This window comes from Homo sapiens, chromosome 1, assembly GCF_000001405.40.
Source record: "Homo sapiens chromosome 1, GRCh38.p14 Primary Assembly".
NCBI classification, from domain to species: Eukaryota; Metazoa; Chordata; class Mammalia; order Primates; family Hominidae; genus Homo; species Homo sapiens.
The window spans coordinates 108448618-108473311 of NC_000001.11; the positions used below are offsets into that span (position 1 = coordinate 108448618).

The 24694-nt window shown below is 44.0% G+C and overlaps 1 protein-coding gene across 8 annotated transcripts in view; it reads left to right on the plus strand.

The window, feature by feature from the left end:
* Positions 1 to 23303, plus strand: part of NBPF6 (NBPF member 6) — a 50430-nt gene extending 27127 nt beyond the window's left edge. For 6 of the 8 annotated variants that reach the window (XM_047428683.1, XM_011542012.3, XM_047428685.1 and 3 more), the window contains 14 exons: positions 1950 to 2162; positions 3573 to 3672; positions 4564 to 4778; positions 5822 to 5900; positions 6769 to 6980; positions 8390 to 8441; positions 9319 to 9458; positions 10441 to 10492; positions 11316 to 11485; positions 12516 to 12567; positions 13299 to 13471; positions 16571 to 16807; positions 18834 to 19048; positions 21980 to 23303. In XM_047428683.1, the coding sequence (XP_047284639.1) occupies positions 1950 to 2162; positions 3573 to 3672; positions 4564 to 4778; positions 5822 to 5900; positions 6769 to 6980; positions 8390 to 8441; positions 9319 to 9458; positions 10441 to 10492; positions 11316 to 11485; positions 12516 to 12567; positions 13299 to 13471; positions 16571 to 16807; positions 18834 to 19048; positions 21980 to 22021 (1952 nt within the window). In that variant the 3' untranslated portion in view covers positions 22022 to 23303. Of the gene's footprint in view, positions 1 to 1725; positions 1848 to 1949; positions 2163 to 3572; positions 3673 to 4563; positions 4779 to 5821; positions 5901 to 6768; positions 6981 to 8389; positions 8442 to 8630; positions 8718 to 9318; positions 9459 to 10440; positions 10493 to 11315; positions 11486 to 12515; positions 12568 to 13298; positions 13472 to 16570; positions 16808 to 18833; positions 19049 to 21979 lie in introns of those variants that run through there. The other 2 variants (NM_001143987.2, NM_001143988.2) reach the window with 2 other exon arrangements.
* Positions 23304 to 24694: the final 1391 nt, after the last annotated feature.

Below are 24694 nucleotides of genomic sequence, written 5' to 3' on the forward strand. Positions count from 1 at the left end.
ACATGATTTGCTATCCCTCTTCTTCAGGTTTCTTACCTGTTTCTTATGGATAATAACATTGCCTTAAGGATTATGATGAAAATATGATATCCAAGTATGTGTACAGTTTTGAACAAAATGCCTAGTATGAATTGGTCAATAAATAATTATTTTTATTTATTGAATTACATGGATTCTATAAATAATTACTGAATAATTATTGTGATTCCTTTTATTGGCAGTGCTCAAAATGCATCCCTGTGTGACCTCAAGTAAACCAGTAACTTTGTGAACCTGCAGTTTTATCATTTTTAAAGTGAAGAAACTAGACAGATTTTCATTCTGACACAGAATGTCAGGTCTTTGAGACACCAGAGAATAGATAAATTTATAGCCTTTGCTACATCTCAAAGCACTGTCGCTACACAGTGTAGGTGGAGGATGGTGCGGGCTGCTGAGATGTGCGCTTTCCACTGGGATTGATCCAGTCCTCCTCCTTCACTTCCACATGAATGCTGCGTAGCCCGTGGTCACACTCATCACACCCTCAACTCAGGCAAGTCCAGCAGCCACACTTAGGAGACCTGGGCTACAGGACAATCTCCCAAGTCCTAGCCTCACAAGACCTAGTTGAAGATGGAAGCTGAGAAAGTGAGGAGGTGGTTTGGGGGAGCACACTCCCCTACTCATCCCTCTCATCTCAAACTCACCTTCTACTGCACAGGAACACTGAGGATCACCAACCACCCGTGACCATGAGCTTGATCTTGCCAGGTTCGGTTAGTGGAATGCAACCACACATCAACAGTGTTAGAACAACTATATATATATATATATATATATATATATATATATATATATATATCTCCAACAATATTCCCTGAGAAGCGTTCAATGCCCTGTTCTTTTCAATATATGGGAAAACTAAAAACAACAAAATACCATCAGGTTTACAAGACTTCCCAAGATAGATGGTCACACATGTTTTCAGGGGATATATACAAATGATTTTGATCACTTGATACCTTGAAAAGAGCTATTTTGGGACGAGAATGATATTCGTAAGTGACAAGTATGAAACGAGTGTTCAGTGACATTAAAAAAGCAAACCGACCCACACATAGAGGAAGAGCTTTGGACGTAGGGATGTGAAACTGGTCTTAAGTGTAATGAAAAGCCAAGATGCTGCCCCAGTAAGAGAAAAGAAATCAACATAACAATGGGATGCAGCAAGAATACTGAGACAGGGTAGAAAATCTTTTTTAAAAGTGAATTATTCCTTCATTTTCAGTCGATACAGAAAAAACTGCAGAAGACCCAGAGGGATATCATAGCAGACTAAAAGTTTGCTATCTTTCACTTGTGGAAAAGCATTAAGATCATTTTACCTTAAAAAGAAGGTGAGGTGACTTGATGACTACCACTAAGAAAATATAACCTTCTGGAAAACTATCCCTACCTTGATGATTTTATACACACAAGAGATGAACAATGAGGAATATGCTTATATGTATTGAGAAAGAGGTGGGCCTATAGCATTGTCACAAGGGTGCACAAATACTGAGAGTGACTGCTGAAGAAATGGTCCCCATCAGTGACCCTCAGGTGAGACCAGGGGGCCTAGTGTTTCAGCACAGCCTGGGCAATTGGAATGCAGGGTTTCTAAGATTCCATGACACCCCCACCTTCTAATTCTGTTATTGCAACTGCAGACCGTTACCTGGTACACTGGCTGCTACCTCCCTCACTCTTGTCAGAGTCGGAGCTACAGGCAGTGCCTTCAGCTCTGAGCTCAGGCATCCCGGTCCCTGTTTTTGCGGTTAAGGACTCTAAAGTGTTGTGTCGTGTTCATCAACTTTTTCTCAACCGTAAGTTAACAATTCCAGTAATTGTCATCTCTCAGTCCTGATTAAACCTAATTGATTTCACTAGTTTTTGACCCATCATGTGTCTGGGTTTCTTCTCCCCAGTCCCTGGCTCTACCTCTTCTGCCACAAACGTCAGCATGGTGGTATCTGCCGACCCTTTGTCCAGCGAGAGGGCAGAGATGAACATCCTAGAAATCAACCAGGAATTGCGCTCGCAGCTGGCAGAGAGCAATCAGCAGTTCCGAGACCTCAAAGAGAAATTCCTTATAACTCAAGCTACTGCCTACTCCCTGGCCAACCAGCTGAAGAAATACAGTAAGTTCTATAGATTCACAATGATGAACGTGATGAATGATCACCTGTGTTCTGAGAAACTGAACGGTCTTTTCATCGAAATTAATTTCATCCTTCCCATACTTCTAGGAAAATAGAAGTGGATGTTTTAACCTCATTTTGTTAAACATGGAAAACAGAGGCACAAAGTATTTAGCAACTTTTCCACATTGGCAGTCTGGTGTGAGGTGGGACTAGACTTAAAATCCTACTTATTGTCTTCTGACACAGGCACAGAACCACCTGTTTTCCTCAGTAAGAGGCTAAATCATGTTTATGAGAATCCTCTCTGTACCATATAAGATTCTACAGACAAGTAACATCTAGTCTGTTGGTCTAAATGTCTGGGACTAATGAACTTCCATTCAGTTCAAGCTTCTTTGAGGCCCAATAGGCAAAGCTCCATCCAGAGGACCCTGGGGGAAACATGGCAACTGTACAGAGTACCCACTCTAAGGAGCTTAAAGAGGAGACTGCCCCTAACAGAAACTGTGATATCTGTGACACCCTTCAAAGCACAGAGTGTCCCAGTGAAAGGGAAGTGCTGCTTCCTGGGGCACAGGCTCTTATTCCTGAAGAGGAAGAAAGATGGCACATGAGACATTGTAGAGGTAGCAGTGTAGTGTGCAGAGCAGGGACCCTGGGCCAGTCTCCTGGGCTCCATCCAAGTTGCCTATCTTCTCTGTGCCTCAGTTTCCTCATCTGCTCATTGAGGACTATAATAATACCTACCTCTGTAAATTACTGCAATGAATTACATGACCTATTTCTTGTAAATTTCCTAGAACAGTTCTTGGAACAGAGTAAACACTATCTATTAGTTCTTCATTCTACTATTTCTAACTTAATTCAAACTTTAGTAGTATTTGGGCATATTTCTACTATAGCCTCACGGTCTTGTGCCTCATATTTTATGCAATTATATCCAGATATGATTTTTTAAATGTTTGACATATTCGCACTTGAAATTCCCAGTACAAGGGAAACTTTGGGTCCCATAGTCCTAGGGCCTTCCTGACTGTATAGAAAATCACTACTTCATGCACCAGTGCAGTGTTTTACAGGAGAGGCCGCAAGGCTTGGGAAAGTGGCCCAGGATTCAGAGTCAGACCTCAGGGGCTGTGAATTCTGACTCCGCCTTCTTCCAGGTGAATCATCTTGTCAAGTTACTTGATGTGCCCTTGTGTTTCTTTCTCCCCATCCCTGAGCTGGGGAGTATCAGATGCCAGAAAGTTGGGAGGTTGATAAATAAAGATGTGGAAATGCCTGCCTGGAGCCTGGTACTGGAGCTGCTTTCGTCCTTGGGATGGATGCTGCCGCCTGCCCTATAGACACTGACCCCAGCAGCATGTCCCACCTTCCACTGAGGCAGGCGTGTCTGTCTTTTCTCAGAGTGTGAAGAGTACAAAGACATCATAGACTCTGTGCTGAGGGATGAACTGCAGTCCATGGAGAAGCTGGCAGAGAAGCTCAGGCAAGCTGAGGAGCTCAGGTGAGCGGGCCCCATTGGGGGCAGGCAGATGGGCAGGGGTGTGAATCTCTGAAGTGCAGCAACTCAGCTGGGAGAACTAAGAGCTGAGCTGGGCCAGGACAACGGCAGGCATTTACATGGCAGGCACGTGTCACACAAATATTTATAAAACAGAGAACAGTCATCTTAGTAAGTTATGGGTTGTAGTTGTTTCTTAAGCCTTGTTTTCTCTTCTTAAAACCACTGATTGTTGAGGTAAAATTTGCATAACACAAAATAAACCAAAAAAAGTGAACCACTCAGAAGCATTTAGGATACTCAGAATGGTGTGCGATCACCACCACCTTTACTCTTCGTCAGAATCACCTCTTGACTGACTGTGGCGTTTCATTTGTTCAATCAATATTGCCTTCTTAACACTGTCATTCTTTTCTTCTTTCATCTTTCCAATTCACCCCATCTGCACCTGGCCACATTTCTGTGCATGGCTTTGTATCTAGTCACTGCAAGATGCGCTATGTGAATTTTCACATAGAGATGCCCATGGCCAAAGTGAGGAACTGAAAGGACATCCTTGTGGAACTGATTTAGGAAGACGCTAACTTTTGTTTACAGAAGAAAAAGATGAGTGGAACATCTGTGAGGATCTTACAGAAGCACTCTCTCATATATCAGAAGGCTGTGTGTGTGTGTGTGTGTGTGTATGTTTGTTTGTGTGTGTGTGTGTGTGTGTGTGTGTGTATATATATATATATTCTTCTTTCTCTTGGCCACAGACATTTCCCCAAACATGTTCTGACCTTCTGCTTGGAGGTCTCCTTGAGGACATTCTCACAGAAACCTCTGTTGCGGTATTAGAACTGATCACTCATCCCTTTCCATTATTAAATGTTCTCTACTATCTCACCTTAGGCAGTATAAAGCCCTGGTTCACTCTCAGGCAAAAGAGCTGACCCAGTTACGGGAGAAGTTACGGGAAGGGAGAGATGCCTCCCGCTGGCTGAACAAGCATCTGAAAACCCTCCTCACTCCTGATGACCCTGACAAGTCCCAGGGTCAGGACCTCCGAGAGCAGCTGGCTGAGGGGCACAGGCTGGCAGAGCACCTTGTTCACAAGCTGAGCCCAGGTAAGGTGGCCATGGGCCCTGATGACACACAGCTTCAGGCTTATGAAAGTCCCCAGACCTCCACACCTCCACAATGACAATTGTATGGGTAGTGTTTCTTTCCAGTAAACTTTTGTGGCCACGACATGATCAGAATTTCTTGGGTGGGAGCAGAGATGGGAAACCCATGGGGTGGAGGTTACAGAATGGCAAATGTATCCTCCTTTCTTGATGGAATGTGGTCTTTAGAGCAAGAGGCAACATCCGTCCAGTTTTAAAGAACAGGAAGGAGGCTGTGACAGGAAGCAGCTTTTAGAGTGAAAGGAGCCCTGGACTAAGAATGAATGTTCCCAGGATCTATCTTCAGCAATGTCTTTAGCAACTGTGGGCAACTGATTAATTTATCCTTCCTGGGTTTCTGTCTCTAAATCTGTAAAAGCAAACAAATTGTCTCTTGCATTCAAATGTGGGAACACTTATGACTATATTTCACAATGAGATAAAGCCCCTTGCTGTGTGGTGTTGGAGAAGGCACTTGATGTGGTGGCATTTGGTGGTAGGAAGTGGTTTAGACTGGAGCACTCCCCATGGAGAGATTGTCCCCGGTTAACACAGTGGAAGCCACTTGGAGGGCCCATGAAGTCCCTAATGTATGGAATACTGTGGGACAAGGTTGTTTGTCCTGTTCGAAGAGAAAGATATAGGTTCTAAATGCGAACTGTGACAGGATACAGAGCCTGTGCGTGGGAATCAGATCTGTGGCAGGATTGGGGAGACAGCTGCTGAAGTTCAGAGAGAGGCTGGGCAAGCCTCCAGTGATATGAAGAGGAAAAGGTCTTTTCAATATTTGGCCACATCTTGATGGTGACCCTCCAGATCAGAAACACATTGCCTCATGGATCAGGAAAACATGCCAGGGCATTTTTTTAGAGATAAAACATGAGAGCTTTCAGCACAGTGTGGACTTATACATGTAGATGTTTATGTCCCTGTGCACATAGGGCTCACTGTGCTTGCAGTGGGTGAAATGGGAAATATTTCAATGGACACATCTGTATTTGCAGAAAATGATGAAGATGAAGATGAGGATGAAGACGACAAAGACGAGGAGGTTGAGAAAGTACAGGAATCACCTGCCCCCAGGTAACATTGAATAATCAGGAGCGGGTAATGGGTGGTAAAATATGAAAAAGGTCTCAGAAAGAATAAAAGGGAGGTGAAGGTAGTCACAGATTCCAGAGGCAGGATAAAGAAAGCTGCAGAGTGCACTGATTTCATGTGCTCACCCAACAAGGAAATAGCCCCATTAACGTGCTTGTCCATTGTCTTCCTGGTGCCTGTAAGCATGACCCTAGATGAACTCACCATCCCTAGGGACTTCCTGCACACACAGAGGAGACCTGTTCTCCCCTGTAGTGAAAGCCAGGATGAGATGTAAAGCTGCTTTCTACACTGTTGTCTTTAGGTTCTTTTTAGGAAAGATAAATAGCAGAGAGGCAACAAGCAGAGGAAATAGGAAGCACCTAGCAAAGTTGAACACAAAGTACAGTACCTAGACAAAAAAATTTACATTTCATGTCACAATATTAAAATTTTAAAAAAACTAGAAGGCACACCATCTCTGAAGTCTACAATGGCTCAAATGCCTGTATAGCCATGGCCACAGTATGTTAACTACAACCCAGCTTAGACACACCATGTGGCAGCTGTTTTTGGTTCTCTGTGTGTGCTGTCAAGACTGTACCATACAGGGACAGCTGAGTCTTCCTCCTCCTCAGCTCCTATCTGCCCAGTGCAATGATCACTAGCTGCTGTCTTCCTCTCTGGTTCCCATGGCAGCCACGCTCTGTTGCAGACAGAAAAGGATTGCCTGTTCCCTCTTAAAAGGAACCTCTCCTTTGCATTCTGGGACCACTCTCTTAAGCCTCCTTTCAAAACCACCTAGGACTTCTTGGGGTGCAATGCCTTTTGGATTAATCTTCTGTCATCTCTATCCCACTGGGCTCATCAGAGAGGTGCAGAAGACTGAAGAAAAGGAAGTCCCTCAGGACTCACTGGAGGAATGTGCTGTCACTTGTTCAAATAGTCACAACCCTTCTAACTCCAACCAGCCTCACAGGAGCACCAAAATCACATTTAAGGAACACGAAGTCGACTCTGCTCTGGTTGTAGAGAGTGAACACCCTCATGATGAAGAGGAGGAAGCTCTAAACATTCCCCCAGGTAGCCTCTCTATTCTTTGTCCCTCCTAGCTCTGTCTAGGCTGAGGAAGATCAATTCTGAGGACAGACTGTATACATACATATTGGTTTGAATCACAAAGTATAGTGGAGCCGGGGGCGGTGGCTCCCACCTATAATCCCAGCACTTTGGGAGGCCCAGGCGGGTGAATCACTTGAGTTCAGGAGTTCAAGACCAGCTTGGGAAATGTGATGAAACCCGTCTTTACAAAAAACATGAAAAACTAGCCAGGCATGGTGGTGCGTGCCTGTCATCCCAACTACCCAGGCAGCAGAGGCGGGAGAATCACCTGAGCCCAGGAAGTAAAGGCTGCAGTGAGCCACAATTGCACTCCAGCCTGAGTGACAGAGTGAGGCTGTGTCTCAAAAAAAGAAAAAGAAAGAAACAGAGAGAGAGAGAGGAGAGAGAGAGAGAGAAAGAGAGGAAAGAAAGAAAAAGAAAGAAAGAAAGAAAAAGAAAGAAAGGGAGAGAAGGAAAAGAAAAGAAAGAAAGAAAGAGAGAAACTATGATAGAATATTAAACACAGTTATGTGAGGGTCAGAGAACATTCCTCTCCTCCTAGGCCCATGGCATGGACTTTGTCTTCCTGGCCCCAATATTAGCATACTGGACCACAGGCAGGTGTGACAAAGTCATAGCCACCTGTGTACAGGAGGTATCTGTCAGGCCTCCTGGCTCGGTTCCTATGTCTCTTGTCACATGCAATAATGATTTGTGTCCCTGAACAATGTCCATGGAGTTTCTATGCCTGTCACAGGCGACTGACAGTCTTGCCTATGTAATTGGAGATGTGTCTCTGGATTCACTGTTCTCGGCCCCAGGCTTGGTCTCCTTTAGGTCAGCTTGTCCCAGCTAAGCAGTCACCTTGAAAGCAGGACATAAACACTTCTACCTTTATCTTGCTTATAAGTTTCCCTAAACGAGGCTGGGCCCTGAGTTCTTCACCCCATGAGCGGTCAATGTTTCTGTGTAGCACCGCAGACTCTTTTTTATGCAAGGATTGTTAGAATTTATCCATCAGTTCAGTCTCCTATACAAATTTCTCTAACCATTCGTTGACCATGATATATGATGAGATAAATCAGTATTGCAACAACACTTCTGGAGAGTGGTTAGGGCAATTTTTGAAAATCTTGGGGAAAAAGTTTTGTTTAATTGTTTGCACAGACTTAGGTCAGAGGATAGGTGATTATGATCTACCAGATGAGGGAGATTTTGTCCTATGGGTCTGGAAAGCAGGCACATCTACTTCTGAAAATAAGTCAGAATGATCCTGTCAAAATGTCACATTCTTACACTGAGGATATTTATGTTCTTGTGCTATGACTGGACACTTATTTGCTCTTGTGTGATTTCCTTACTGTGACCTGCTCTTCTGAATTTGTTTACAGAAAATCAAAATGACCATGAGGAGGAGGAGGGGAAAGCGCCAGTGCCCCCCAGGTAACTGTGGATTTGTGGGCTGTTAGTTCAATAGTGACATCTGGACACCACGGATCAAGGGAAAATAGGAAGTGACGAATAGAACTGTCTCATCCATTCATCCAAGTGCAAATTGCCCCTTTAACAATGTTGTCTTCTTTATTGTGGTACTTGAATAGGTTTCAATTTCTTAATCCCTCTCAAGCATAGGAACCGACAATCACTTGAACCAGGTGAACTGACCAACCTCAGGGATTTCCTGATCTCACCTGTGGTCTCCCATGTGGCTAATCCAGGGTGAGATGCATATATGCTTTCTGTATGTTTTGTGACAGCATGTTGGCAAGTATTTGAATGCAATCGAGAAAATTAAAAATAAAAATTTCATATTATGTCAAAATATTGAAAAAAAAGGGGGACCTTAAAAACACAGGATCTGTGCGTTGGGAATGCCTCAAGAGCTGTGTTCACTTGGATGCTGCATGTAATGTCAACGCAATTTGTGTAAAGGAAGTGAAGTCCCAGCTTAGTTCTCAGTGCTGCAAGTCATGATGCTTGATGCTAGCTTACAGGGAGAGTCTGGGTCCTCCTGCAGCCGCTCGTTTGTGGCAAGTGCACTGAGCACCTGCTGCTCATGTTTGCTCTGTCTCCAGGACAGTCACACTCCACCCCACATTTAGAAGGATAGATTTTTCTCTCTTGGAGGAGACCCTCCTTTGCTTTCTGTGACCACACCCTTTGTGTCCTATCAAATCACCTGAGATACTATGGTGTTGAATCTGTCTTGGTCTAACCTTCTGTCGTTCTATCCTACCTGGCTCATCAGAAAGCTGCAGGATTCTGAAGAGAAGGGAGTCCTGCAGGACTTGCCAGAGAAATGTGTTTTGTCTCATTCTAGACACCATGACAAGTCCAACTCTTACCGGCATCGTGAAGTCTCTTTCTTGGCATTGGATGAACAGAAAGTTTGCTCCGCTCAGGATGTTGCCAGGGATTACTCCAATCCCAAATGGGATGAAACCTCACTTGGCTTCCTCGGTAGGCTCCCTATTGTTTGTACCCCAGATTTGTCCATAGTGACGGATGTCATACCTTCAGGAAGACTCTATGCTTATATACTGGTTAGAACCAGGCTCTAGGATTGAGTTTGAAGGAAGGCATCCTATAAGTCAGAGTTGTGCTCCATTCTAGTCCAAAACCACACATTGTCTTTCATCATTGCCCCATTGGCAGATCACTGTACCCAAGGTTGACCTGACAAATTCATACCCACCTCTGCAGCCTGGGTGCAGGGTGTATCTACCAGTCCTCCTGATTTAGATTTAATCTGTCATCTCACATGAAATCTAATTTTCCCTCCCAAACAACCTGAGTTTCTCTGCCTGTCCAAGGCCACTGGCAGCCTTATCGATATTCTTGGAGCTGTCATTTCCCTCGTTCACTTCTCTCAGGCTAGACTCCCTCCCCTTTTAGTAGGCTTGTCTTAGCTAAGAAGTCTCTGAGTACCAGAACATGAACACCACTATTAAATTTTGTATGTTTCTCTGAAAGGAGGCCGGGCCCTGGAACTCCCTGCCATATGAAAGGCCAATGTTTCCATGTAGCATTAGAGATTCTTTTGATTTAATCTGTCCCTCTAAATGCAAATTCTACAAAAACACTGACAACAGCTTATCAGAAGGAAACATGCTGAATACTGCAGTAACCTGCTAGGAAGCATTAAAGTAGATCCCCAGGATCTGTTAGTAAACAGGATATGGTTAACAGTTTGCTGTGACTCAAGACAGAAGGGACTGTGATGATGACCTGTCAGATCAGGGAGATTTGCTCCATGACTCAGGAAAGCAAACCTAGTGACTTCTCACAAGGCTCACCCTGAGACCTCCTGGAAAGTTTCTCTCACAATAGCCTGTTCTCGCACTGCGTGTATTTATGCCCCTATGTAGATTTGGACACAAGGTTGTGCATGTGTGAATGTGATCAGGTTCACCTGGCTGGTCTTCTCTTAATTTATTTACAGAAAAGCAAAGTGATCTTGAAGAGGTGAAAGGACAAGAAACAGTTGCTCCCAGGTAATTGAGAAAAATCAGGGGCTGTCTATTCAGGGGTGATATCTGTGAAACTCATCTCCACAGAAAACCAGAAAGTCCTGAATATACCTAATTCATCCCTTCAGCCAACCGGAAATGATCTTTTTTAACCATGTTTTACATTTTCATTGTGAAACTTTTAATGTTTGCATTTCTTATTAACTTCTTAAGTTCAGTACATCAAACCACTTGACCTTGTGAACAACTAATCAGTCACACAGATTTCCTTAAAGTAAGTATACTCTTCTTATGGTGTCAACCAGCCTGAGATGCATATCTGCTTTCTGCTGGTTTTGCATTAGCACAGTGGTGAGCATTTCAAGGCAAGGAAATTAGGTAGAAAAAATTATTGTTATACCATGCACAATATTGAGAGAAAGAGGACTTGATGCCATGCGATTTCGGGGATACGATTATGCCTCAAAACCTATGTTTACTTGGCCACTACACATAAAATTTAACATCATTTAAAAGAAAGGAATGAAACCACTGTTATAGGACATGATATTCAGTAAGTCACGACTCTACCATACAGAGAGACTCAGTCTCCTTCCTCAGAAAATCATAATCTGGCTACTTTGCTGAGCACCTGATGCTTCTCTCTCTCTCATCTCTCTCTTTCCCTCTCTCTGTATTGCAACCTACCCATGGCAACCACACTGTGCCCACCAAGAAGAGGAGAATATTTAACTGTTTAATGGGTTGACCCATTTGTTTTCTGCGATCACTCCCTCATGCCTCACGTGAAATCCAGCTAGGGCTCTGAAACTCCTTGGATTAATCTTTAGTCCTTCTTACCCTACAGGCTCAGCAGGGGACCGCTGAGAGTGGACAAGCATGAAATCCCCCAGGAGTCACTGGATGGATGTTGCTTGACTCCTTCCATCCTTCCTGACCTGACTCCCTCCTACCACCCTTATTGGAGCACTTTGTACTCTTTTGAAGACAAGCAAGTCAGCTTGGCTCTTGTAGACAGTGAGTACTCCATTGTGAACATGATAAATCTCCAATTGGTGTCCCAGGTAGACTCCGTAATCCTTGCACTTCACATCCCTGGCTGGACTGAGATGTGTCATTGGTGTGGGCGTGACTCACAGACACAGGATGATTTGCATCAGCATCAAAAATCAAGTTGGAAGCACAGACAGGGGTGGGTCAGTGAGCTTTGCTCTCTTCCTCATCTCAGACCATGCCTGTGTCACCCTGCGCCCACTGTCACGACATTGACAAATTCACACCAACCTATGCAGCACGTGCCCAACAGGTGTCTGTCAGGCCTCTTAATCTGAATAAGATTTGTCTTGCCAGCTATCGTGTTCCTTACAAGTTCCTTTCCCCAACCATGTCCTGTGAGATTCTATGCCTGCCCAACGCCTGTGGCATTTTTGTCTACTTTTCATTAAAGATATTACCCAGGTTTCAAAGAACCTAGCCTCATTCTGTATGTCTTTGATGTTATCCTGTTTTAGCTGAGCAGTCCATTACCTTTTGTTATGTTTCTAGAAACAAGATTGGGCCTTGTCACTCCTAGATGTCACGAATAGCCAATGTCTCTTTGTATTGAACCAAAGATTCATTTTCATTCAAGGGTCTGTAGATTCCCTCCTACATTCTAGTTTCAGTGTCTAAAATCCTTGTAACCATGAACAACGTGAGTATTTGATGATTGAAAGCTGAATATTGCAGTTTTCCTTCTAGAAAGCAGCTGGGGTATTTGCCTTCAACTGGTGTGAAAAATTTGCATAACTGTTTGCACAAAATCAGGACAGATGATGTTGGGATAATGATCTACCAGAACAGGGAGATTGCATTCCTAGGCCCAGGGAAGAAAACCAAGGCATCTCTCTCATGACAGGACCTCAGGCCTCCTGGAATATTTCTCTCACAGTGTCCTGTTCTCCCACTGAGGAAACTGACATTTCTATGTTAGGATTGCACAGTGGATTGTTTATGTGTGTAGGAGAACCTGCTTAATCTGTCTGTCCCTTTGTGAATTTATTTACAGAAATTAAAAAGGATCAAGAGGAGATAGAAGACCAAAGCCCACCATGCCCCAGGTAACTCTGAGGAATCCTGAACAGTTAATTCAGTGTTGATATCTGGAGTCTCAGATGCAGGGAAAATCAGAGTGTGCTGAATATACCTGTTCCATCTGTTCAGCCAACCATGAAATGCCATATTCATAAGGTTGACTCTTTTCATTGTACACCTGTATTTCTAGTTCCTCCTTATTAATTCCTTTCAATTCGTCTAATCTGCATTCAGTTGACTCTGTTGAACTGATCACTCACAGACATTTTCTGCAGTCCCCTTTTCTGTCCTTTTTGCTTAAAGTGAAGTTGAGTTGCACATCTGATGTCTGCCTCTTTGGCATTACCATGTTTGCAAGTATTCGATAGCAGGGAAGTGAATGAAAATAAATCATGCCATGCTACAATGTTGAGAACAAGAGCTGTTGAGGATACAGGAACTCTGTGAAGACTCAAGAGCCTGTATTCATTTGGCCACTGACGCTAATTTCAACAAAATGGATGCAAAAGTGCCGAATGCACTGTGTCCTGGCAGTTCCCCGCAGGGATCACTCCATCTGCTTCCTCCCCAGCTCATTGCCTGCCCAGTGCACTGAGAGCCTGTCGTGCTCTGTCTCCTACTCGAGACAGGGAAGGATGGTTGTATCTCTCTCAGGGGAATGTACTTTGCTTCCTCTGGGCCTTCCTAAGGGCCTCCCTATAGAACCAGCTGGGTGTTGGTTCTCTCTGGTGTTTATCTTCTGTCTTCTTTACCCCAGGCTCAGCCAGGAGCTGCCAGAGGTGAAGGAGCAGGAAGTCCCAGAGGACTCTGTGAATGAAGTTTACTTGACTCCCTCAGTTCACCATGACGTGTCTGACTGCCACCAGCCTTATAGCAGCACCTTGTCCTCATTGGAGGATCAGCTTGCCTGCTCTGCTCTGGATGTAGCCTGTGAGTACTTCACCCTGGAGATCACAAAGCTCCACTGTCCTCCCAGGCAGCCTCTGTATGTTTTGTTTCCTGCAACTTGTGCAGCTGAGACAGACCATCTCTGCAGCAGGCTCTATACACTGAGCTTGTTTTGAATCTGGCTCTTGGATCCAGTTTTAAGCACAGACATCCACTGGGTAGAACTTCCTCTTCTCCTGTTCCAAGTGCCTCCTCTGTCACCTGGCTCCTTCTCACAGGAGCAGGCTTTGGCTATCAAAACAGGCCAGAGAAGGGAGTGGTGAGGGCTTATGGCAAATTCCTGGCCACAGTAGCTCAGCTGGAGAAATTTATGTAACAGCCCTCCTTCTTTAAGATAGGGCATCTCTCTTTTCTGAAATTATCTTGCTAATTCCATGTCTTTATCTCTTCTCTGGCCATCCACATATGTTGGGAGTTTTGCCCAATTATTTGGAGGCCTGTTTCATGATTCCTGTGTCCCAAGCTAGATTCTCTTCTTCAGGGATCCCCAGCCCTGGGGCCATGGGCCATTATGGGTCCATGACCTGTTAGGAACTGGGCCGCAGAGCAGGAGGTGAGCGGTGGGAGAGCATTTCAGCCTGGATCCCACCTCCTGTCAGATCAGCAGTGGCATTAGATTCTCACAGGAGCTCGAACTCTATTGTGAATTGTGCATGCCAGCAATCTAGATTGTGTTTTCCTTACGAGAATCTAATGCCTGATGATCTGTCACTGTCTCCCAGTAACTGTCACCCCCAGGTGAGACCATCTAGTTGCAAGAAAACAATCTTAGGGCTCCCACTGATTCTGCATTATGGTGAGTTGTATAATTATTTCATTATATATTCCAATATAATGTTTATAGAAATGAAGTGCACAGTAAATGGAATGTGCTTGAATCATCCCAAAACCATCCCCCCCAACCTGGTGCCTGAAAAATGGTCTTCCATGAAACCAGTCCCGGGTGCCAAAAAGATTTGGGACTGCGGCTCTACTTCCTCTGAGGTGTCTTCCCTCCACTGACGCAGTCCAGCGACCCTTCCTTTATGTGTGGCCGGGCTTGCATCCTCTGCAGAGCTCCAGTGGTTTTCTCCATGTGTGGGTTTGTAGTGTCAATCAAGTTTTGGTCTCAGTGCTCTATTCTCATGAAAACCATCGACAACTAGTGTCCCTCATGAGGCTCTGGCCTAACCGATGAGCAAAGCAGAGTGGTTCCTGTCCCCATGAGGTCCAGAAAACCCTTCCTCTGAGCAATCGCCCCTTGAGATAGCAGCTTCACAGGATGTGTAAAAAGAAAATCCAATTTTCATTTCTTCTTGCTCATTCTCTTTTTTTTTTACTTCAATTCTGGGAATTTCATGTGGATTGTTGGGGGTTTTACCCATTACATTATCTTCTAGTAAGAGCAAGGAACTCTGTGATGTCCCCCAGTATATTGGATTATGTTGTAACGAGATTAGCAAAAATGCCAGGTGTGTTGATTCATGCCTGTAATTCCAGCACTTTGGGAGGCTAAGGAGGTGGATCGCATGAGCTCAGGAGTTTGAGACCAGTGTGGGTAACATGGTGAAACCGTATCTGTAAAAAAAAATTAGCAGAGTATGGGGGTACACACCTGTAGTCCCAGCTTTTTGGGAGGCTGAGGTGGAAGGATCACCTGAGCCTGGTTAGTTGAGGCTGCAGTGAGCCATGATTGCACCACTGCACTCCAGCCTGAGCAACAAAGTGAGACCCTGTGTCACACACACACAAAGAAAGAAACTAGCAACAAAAATGTTGGCCTCTATTCTATTTTGGTAAGTGCCTTTCATACTGGGACCAGCCCCTTTCCCATTTTGCATTTCTCCCTGAGTTTCAAAAAAGCAAATGCTTTTCTAGCATCACAGTGATTCATGAAACAATTAGGATACACACTGACCTTGCAAGTGCCTTTCATACTGGGACCAGCCCCTTTCCCATTTTGCATTTCTCCCTGAGTTTCAAAAAAGCAAATGCTTTTCTAGCATCACAGTGATTCATGAAACAATTAGAATACACACTGACCTTGCACCTGCTGTATGCCCTGCCCCTTTGCAAGCAAGCTCTGTCCTGCTATAAACCATTCAGGGATCAAGGGACACGCCCAAGTGGGCAGTGGCATCTCCATGTTGGAGCTGAGAACAATGAGGCATTTTTAAGAAAACTTAGAAAACCTTGGAGAGAATGAAGATGTGGAGAGGGGAGGAGAGAGAGGAGCCCCACAGCAACGTGGATCCAGTCTGCAGGCCCCGTCCCCATCTTGAGACCGACCTGGACTGGCGTGAGGTCATTGGAAGTCTTTTCTTAGTCCACTCAGAACGTGTATTCCTCTCCCTGTGGAAATGGAAACAATTTGTTTAAGGGGTGCCACCCGAACCCCACTGGAGGAGTGGGTAATGTGAGGATCGTGTCCTGTGTTGCCTTCCTAAGGAACCGCACATGCTGATCTGTAGCACTTGTGGCCCCTGAATTTGCAGGAAGGGACTGGTCCCTCTCCTACATTGCCTATGTCTGCTGACACCCACTATATGGCAAGAGGATGGATATGTGTGGGTAGGGGGTCAAACCATTATAGTCAATGGGAAATTCAAAATGTCCCCGAACCCAGAAAAGTTTGCCTCACTTAGCGTTTGGTCTGTAGCATCCCAGCCCCCTTTTTCGTGGTTCTTTCTCAAAGCCTCGCAGCTCTAACCCTTGACCCGTTCTTACACCCCTGTGTGTGGAGAAAAATAACCATTCCTCTCCTGTGCTCTGATGCCTCTCTAGAACTTTCCCTCTGGGCACAGGAAAGAGATGAATAGTAACAGAATAATCGGGATGGTCTTGTTAGACAATCCAAAGCCCTCTGGGCTGAAGCAGAGGTTTTTCACCTCAGGGACACCCCAGCCTGGGCCCCTACCGTGTCAGCGTCCCCAGGCACAGGCAGGAGAGGTGACGTCACCTGCATTTACATGATGTCTGTCTGTGTGGCGTGGGTCACTGGGTGGCTTTACTGAGAGCAGGGACATCAGGGATGGGTGTTCTGGGATGACTTAACAAAGGGAAAACTGAGATTGTTCCTACTGAAGCCCCTTCTCCTTTCAGCCCCCACCGAGGCGGCCTGTCCCCAAGGGACTTGGAGTGGAGACTTGAGCCACCACCGGTCAGAGGTTCAAATTTCACAGGCACAGCTGGAACCAAGCACCCTGGTGCCCAGTTGTCTGCGACTACAGCTGGATCAAGGGTTCCACTGTGGGAACGGCTTGGCCCAGCGGGGCCTTTCCTCCACCACCTGCAGCTTCTCAGCCAATGCTGATTCTGGGAACCAATGGCCCTTCCAAGGTAGGGAAGGAAACGGCGTCATGAAGCTCTAATCCAGGTGTTGGTGGTCACGACGGTGCTGTGGGTGGAGGAGAGAATGGGGCCTCCCATGCTTCCTCAGGGTCAAGTTGAAATCCATGATGCTCCAACCCAGTGAGGTGAGCAAAGGCCTGGAGCTTAGGACCGAATCTGCTCTCAGGACCTGGGTTTGCCACTTTCTGCTTGTTGACTTTGGCCAAGGTTTTTGTCTTTTTGCTCTTTATATCTCTGTTCCCTCATCTAAGATACCTGAAGAATAACATCTACCTGCAATCATAATTTCCAAAGGGCCTGATTCCATAAGAATTGCCCAATAAACCTATGAGTAGGTGTTATCTAATCCTTTTATCTTTCTGCTAAATTTACACTTAGCAAGTGATTTCACGGACGATGTCTCCTCTGAGGTAGAGCAGTTATGAAGATCTCTGCTTTCTAGGACCCCTCTTCCTTTCCTTTCTCACACAGACTCCTCTGCCAGTTTTCTTCCTCTCCTTCTCCATCCCTCATGAAGCCAATTTTCCCCTGTCAGGCACTTTCAATAACAACCTATGAGGCACATTGAGTAACAGTGTAAATCCTGGGCCCACACTCAGTCTCCTGACATGTCCAGCTGCTTCTGCTGTTTTTTCTGCTTTTTTTTGAAATAAAAGGGCAACTTTCACATGGAAAGTGTTCACATCAGTCTCTTTTATGAAATTCCATTTAGTTCACATTCTCCACTCATGTCCGTGGCCATGTCCTCGGTTTCTGTCTCACAGGGATCCATTTCTGCTCAGATTACCTTAAAATCCTGGGTCGTGTTCATTCTCACTCTCCATCCCACTCAATATCTCCTCCTGGAGCCCCTGGGGCTGCCTGGTGCTCATCTGTCAGGCGATGCCCTCAGCTGAGGAATGAGGGAACCCCTGTCCTCAGGGGGAGGGAGGGTTGCGTGAGATAATGAGCACCATCTGGGCCAGTGGAGAGGACACATGGAAGGTGCTCCGGGAGTGTCGGGGGATGTGCAGTCCCTGACACGTGCCATGATAACTTATTTAGACTGATTTCTTAGCACTGAACTCTCTTTTGCTTCTCTGTGGATTCTCACACCCCCAGCCAAGACTCACCCCACTGGCTCAGACACACTCCCTCTTGCTCACTTTCCCTGGAGTCCAGAGCCTGAACCAGGCTCCAGGTAAGAGGACAGAGTGAACGCCTTTCGTTTCATTAACACTTTCCTTCACCTGGTGATTTCTCCCTGCTGTCTACCAGGTCATTTGTTTCTCCCATACCTATTCTTTCTCATTCTTCTCATGTCTCCAATTATTTTTCCAATTTCGATGGACCAGAATAGTGACTCTACTCTTACATTCAATCCCTCCCAAATCCCTATATTTTTTTTCTTTAAATTAATGTGTACAGATACATGCATTTGTATCATTTGTCCTATTACGTGTGACTATGTATATCTGGTGTGTATGCTATATAGGGTGTATATATATATGCAGTAGATCATATAATGATGCAACTTTTGTAAATTCTCTAGGTTTAGTCTTCCTGGTTCTTTCCTCTCATCAGTTGCTGTCACCTATGTCTGGTCTCACCTCTGTGCCACATGGGCTGCCACCCTGCCAGGCCCTTCCATTCCCATCTCCTGTTTGAACCCAGTTCTTATTTAACTTTGATTTTTGTAATCTCTTCTCTCCCCAAAGCATAGCCTACATACAGTGTTATTTCCTTGCCTTTGCCTTATCTACCTGGAAGCTATTTGTGTTTCTGAATCCTATGTTTCTGGAATATTTTTGTGACTTGGCAGTGCCTTTGGATCCTGGCAATCTTGTCATTACTGAGTAATGTAGGAAAGATCAACAAAAAAGAAAGTATTAAAGTGACTCTATCGGCTTCCCCTCGCCCTTTGGACTTTCTTGTCCAAGGCTCTTTCCTGATTTGATGTCCTCTGGGTGGAAGAGAAAGTTACGGTAAGATCATGGATGGCAGCGGATCCCATTGGCTGTGGTTTTCTTTTCAGAGCTGGTTTTAGAGCCCTCTCTGGGGATGAAGAACCCTCCCCAGCTGGAAGATGATGCACTTGAAGGCTCAGCAAGCAACACACAAGGGCGTCAAGTCACTGGCCGGATTCGTGCCTCCCTTGTCCTGATACTGAAGACCATCAGAAGAAGACTCCCGTTCAGCAAGTGGAGACTGGCATTCAGATTCGCTGGCCCGCATGCTGAGAGTGCAGAGGTAATCACATCTATGGCTGATAGCTGCACTCACTTCTTATTTCTCTGTCTATGGTGACAGCTCATTCTCTCACTGCTTTTTCTCTCCCATTTGTTCTCTCCAACAGCTGCTCTAACCTCTGTCTGGTCTTAGCTCTGTGTCCCATGGGCTCCCACCCTGACTGGCCCCTTCTCTACCCATCTTCTCTTTACTCTCTGAACTCTGCTCTATTCCTTTTTCTACTGTCTTGAGAGTCCCTCTCATGGCCACAGGAGAGCCAGGCCTCCTTGTCCCCATCCAAGTACATAGTTTAAGCTGCTGAACACAGGGTTGTTTGCCCGGAATCACACACTCCTTTGGGAAATTTACCTTTCCTTGCTGCATCCCCAACTCCATTGCCTCTTTGTGTAGAAATCATTGCTTTAATACGTCATTTACACGAAGATTTTCCTCTTGAGTCTTCTTTTGAGCAACACAACTAATTCAACTCTTAATCATCACTTGTTCCTCTGAATGAGAAGTGTTAAAACTAAGCACTAAGAGCCCCCCTAGGAAACTAAACTAGAACCAGGGTCACAGGTGGGAGTTCCCTACTGGCCTGGAGTCAGGTTTGTCTTTAGCCCCAGATGTGCAGCTTAGTGCCAACGTGGATGGAGTTGCCAGGGTCTCAGTGTTCTCACCTCATGGACTCACTTGAGCTGATGTTAACTGGGGAACATTTATGACATTCTAAAGGGACATCACTCCAAAAGTACATGCAGAGGGCAGGACTTGAAAACTGCATACATCATGAGGTACGTCATTCTAACCTCTCTCCTTTTTATTCTCATTTCCACTTTTCAAGTCCAGTTAAGGGTCTGAAATGCAAGTCAGATGAATCTTGAGGCCATTGTATATGAGAGAGCATTTTATGAATTAACTTTGAGAAAAGTGACTCCAGGACCAGCTTTATGCATACACTAGATGACAGGAATCTGTCTACAGGACAGTCTTTGCTTCGGTGCAGCCCAATTGATAAGACAGAGATTTAACTGAAATTGTCAGAGAGAAGGCTAAAATCCATGGAACCACTGGGAACAAAGCCAGTCATGAGATAAACGGGGAAAGGAAAGAAAATGATGGGAAATTGGGCTGGTCCATTTAGTATCTCTAAATCCTGCTGCCATGTAATAAGCACCCGGTGAGATTTCAATTAAGATGAATGCCTTCAACTTACACTTAGAGATGCTCACTTACATGGCCTGGGGTGTGGTCTGAGCATCTGTAGTTTCAAAATGCTCCCATGTGATTCTAATATGTGGCTAAAGATGAGAAGGACCCCTGGTCTACTATGACCTCAGGTTACCAACATGGAAGTGCCACATATGTGTGGCTACTCCACAGAAAAGGCTGAGCCTCTATCAGACTTTGATGGGATCTGTATTCCCCTCTCAATAGTACTCTTCGTATAGCATAGAAAAAAATCAAGAAGAAAAACAAGAAAATTAATAGATTAGACTTTTAGCCTCTGCTTGAAGCACACTTGCTGAATTTTGAATACAAGATAAGTAAGAAATAGTCATGATATTAACACCTAATGTACGGAAATAATACCTGCCATATTACATATAGTGGAATTTAGTATTTTCTTTTGCATTTTAAAATAAAACTTCCAGTTTACATTTCCCCACACCCATTTTATAGCCCACCAATGGTCTCACCACTGCAATGTGAAAATTTTACTTTTGGTCAATTATTGTCCTTCTGCAAAATCCCCAAAGAGAACTCATTGGTCCCCCTGTCCTGAAGAGCATACAATAACAAATTAAGACTGAAATGCTGCAAGAGATTGTATATGAATACTTCTTCATGCCTCTCTTCACACTGGCATAAAATATTAAAAAGAAACCTTTCTCATAATGTACTTGGGGAAAACAATAAGCGGGACGGGAGACTGTAGTAAAACACAAACTAATCCTTTTCACTTTGTACTTCAGAGTTTTCTTGGTCTAGATATTGAGAATATTTCTAGAAATGCCTTAAGGTGGAACCGGATGTGGAATCAACTTCAGGGCATTAGGGAAAATAAGTTGGGCCATGGTTACAGTCCCTTTTCTCACTTTGCTAACTCCATTTTGAGTCTCTTTTTTTAAACTCCCTTTCTTTCCTGATGACCTTTGGACAAAAACTTATAATTATATATATTTTTTATTTTTTTAACCAACCAAAGAAACAGCAGCACCATCATATTTATCTGTAAAACCTTATTCCTGTCCTAGCCAAGGTGACCCAACCACCACTCATGACTGTTGAGACCTCCAGATTGGAGCCTTTCCTCTCGCTTTCTCCAATCTTTATTGAAAGGCCTTAGTGGGTGGATTCTAATTCCTGGGTTGTCAATAGCAAGTCATGTGGCCTTAGTTCCATCTTACCCCTGTGGCATCACTACTCCTCTGTTGTAAAATGTGGACCTGGACGTGGATGTTGTCTGAGGTTTCTGCTGCTTCTCATATCCAGGGTTCTTCCCATGGCCCTCCCGCTCCTCCCTAGAAGACTAGGACATGGAGTTGTAAGGGGGTGGGTTTCTCTGCAGAGGCTCCTGTCCTTCTGCTCCCCTCTGTTTCTTGGCATGCATGATTGATGCTGAGTACATGCTCACTGGGAGGAAAAGCCCTCACTCTGCTCCAGACAGAGGGGATCAGGAGGAAAGGGGATGATGTTGCCCACTGCTGGTTGGGCATAGGTGGGGTCCTTATATCCTGCACCCCAGGCTGACTGGAAGTTCAGGAGTGTTTTCTTCTCACTTGTGGATGGTGCTTCCCCCTTCTGACAGCCCAGGACTCACCCTCCAGCTCATCCTCCCAGCAGGAGATCCCAGTGAGATATCACTGCTTAGCAATCCCTCCAGACTCAGCCATCAGGTGGACCTGACAAAAATGCTCATTTGATTTTTTTTCTCTCTCTCCCCTACAGATACCAAATACTGCTGAAAGGATGCAAAGGATGATAGGATGAAAGAATGTCACAAAAAGCAGCTTTTCCACTTGATAAAAACAACTAAAACAGCAAAGCAAGTTTAAGTCCAAACACAATACTGCAGGGGTCCTTCACTGAGGATTGAATTTCAGACACAGAATACTCTTGATGACTTCAAGCCACTATGCTCCTTTGATTTGAGAAGCCACATTCCATCCCCCTCCAATTGTGATCAACACCTAGGGAGACCAATGCCCAGATGGACAAATAGCATTGACTGGCGTTAGCCCTGTTTCTCAATTCCCATCATGTAGAGAACAGGAGTCCGCAGCTGCTGGCAGGAGACAGCATGTCAGCCGGGACTCTGCCAGGGCAGAGTATGAGCAATGCCATGTTCTTGCTGAAAACGTTTAGCCTGAGTTTCATAGGAGGTAACCCTCAGATAACTGCAGAATGTAGAACATTGAACAGGACAACTGACATGTCTCCTTCAAACAGTCCATGTCACCACCAAGAAAACAACAAAAAGGAGAAGAGACATTTTGAGTTCAAAAAGAGTAAAAAGCCTATGCAGCTTATGCTTTTTTAGTCATTTTGAACCCAAAACATCTCCTTATCTTTTTGTTGTTGTCATCGATGGTGGTGACATGGACTTGTTTGTGGAGGACGGGTCAGCTCTCTGGCTCAATGGTCTACATTCTGAAGTTATCTGAAAATGTCGTCATGATTAAATTCAGCCTAAACATTTTGCCAGGAACTCTGCAGAGTCCATGCTGTGAGCTTCCTACCTCAGCCCATCTGCAGGCAGAGAAGGCCCAGTGTGTCCATCCCCAGTGCGGTGATACTAGGATGTTCACTTGGTCAAGGAGGGGTCTAGGAGCTCTGTCCCTTGTAAAGACACCTTATTTATAATTAAATTGGAAAGTGGTTTGAAATAGTATAAATATCCTGTATTCTAACAATCTTCTTCTGAGTATTTTATCATCAATTAATCACCCCTGCCTGTGTCAGTTATTATATTTATGTTTTTACATTGGAAATTGTCTTCTCAAAATTTTACTATGTACTTGTTTTTGCTGGCATTCTGTCGTAAAAAGGAACATTCCCTGCCCAAAGTTTGACTTTCATCCAAAATTAATTTTAGTCCATTAAAGTTAAAATGTTAAAGTTTTAAATCACTTTAATTAAATTTTTTTGCCTATCACCCTGGACTAGTGAATTTTTCACATACAATGTTTTAAGCTTTTATTTTATTATTGGTTTTCATGGATAAGAATATAGATTAATAAAAACATTCTTATTTACCTGTTTATATTCTAAAGTATTCCATATTTTAGTCTTATTTACCATATGTAGTAGATTGTATTTACTGTATTTCTTTGTCAATGTTATTTGTTTTGTTTGTGTGTGTGTGCATGTGTGTGTGTGCCTTTTGTTTGTTATTTAGGAAGGGTTGTATAGATCCTGTTTAACATTGCACTAAAAAGGTTTTGACATCAGTAGTCCCCTTTTAACCTGACACATTTCTAATATTTGGTTTATAAATTTTAAATTATATCTGTCAACTTCAAATTTTTACCACTGTAACAATCAAAGAAATTATTTTTGTCTTCTCTGACCTCTTTACCTGCCATTTCTGATAGTGTTATTTCAACCCAAACATATACCAGGGACAGCCTATGTCTCCCACCTTGTCCCCACCTTGGTTTTTGGTTTAGATCTGCAATTAAATACATTGATGCTCATGAGCTATTCAAAAGTGCATGTCCTAGGCATCACTTACTGAGTATCATTCATCCTTAACAATGTCTCCATGAGAGAATCAGGTCTCACTGACTTTTGCATCCTTAATAAACTTTTCCCACTGCCTTGGTACATGGACACCTCACTTGATATAAGGTACTTACCAAAAATGATTTTTTCTTGAGATTTTAGGAAACATTGTCTTGCTTTCAGTGACATGCATGGTGTGTGTTCTCATTCTGGGATTCTATTTTGTTCTATCAGGACCTCTAATTTCTGCCAGTTACTCCATTCATTCTCTTCACCAGAAATCTCCAGAGGACACTTCATTTGTCATAGTGTCTCTACCACTCCTGCTGAACAAGCTTGGGTATGCATAGAAACTGAGGCCAAGTTGTGTCACTGGGCACATTTGGGCATCAACATCAAATGTCTGGCATCAAATCCCAGAATCTCAAACAGGCAAAAAGGAAGGAAAACATGAAACATAATGAAGAATGTAATAATTCAGTTGAAAATGACACACATTAAAAATAGAAGACAAGGACATTAGAGCAGTTATAATTTTATTTAAGTGAAGATGTTGGAGATATTTTTAAATATCAAACTTCATAAGTGCAAACTGTGGTTTACAGTCTGAAATTTTTAAAATGCACTGAATTGAACATTGCAGAAGAAAATATTAATGAACTAGAAGAAATAGCAGTAGAAACTAACACAAATGAAACACACAGAGAAAAATGAATTTAAAAAATAAAAAGCCCATCAGTGGGAAATCTTTAAATACCCTACTGTAGGGGTAAATGGAATCCCTGAAGGGAATGGAGTGGGTAAGAGGGATAGAAAAATATTTAAAACATACTGGATGAAAGCTTTCTAAGCTTCATGAAAACCATAAACCCCAAATATCCCAGAAACATAATGTATCCTAAAGATAAGAAACATGGGCTGACTCTCTTTTCGGACTCA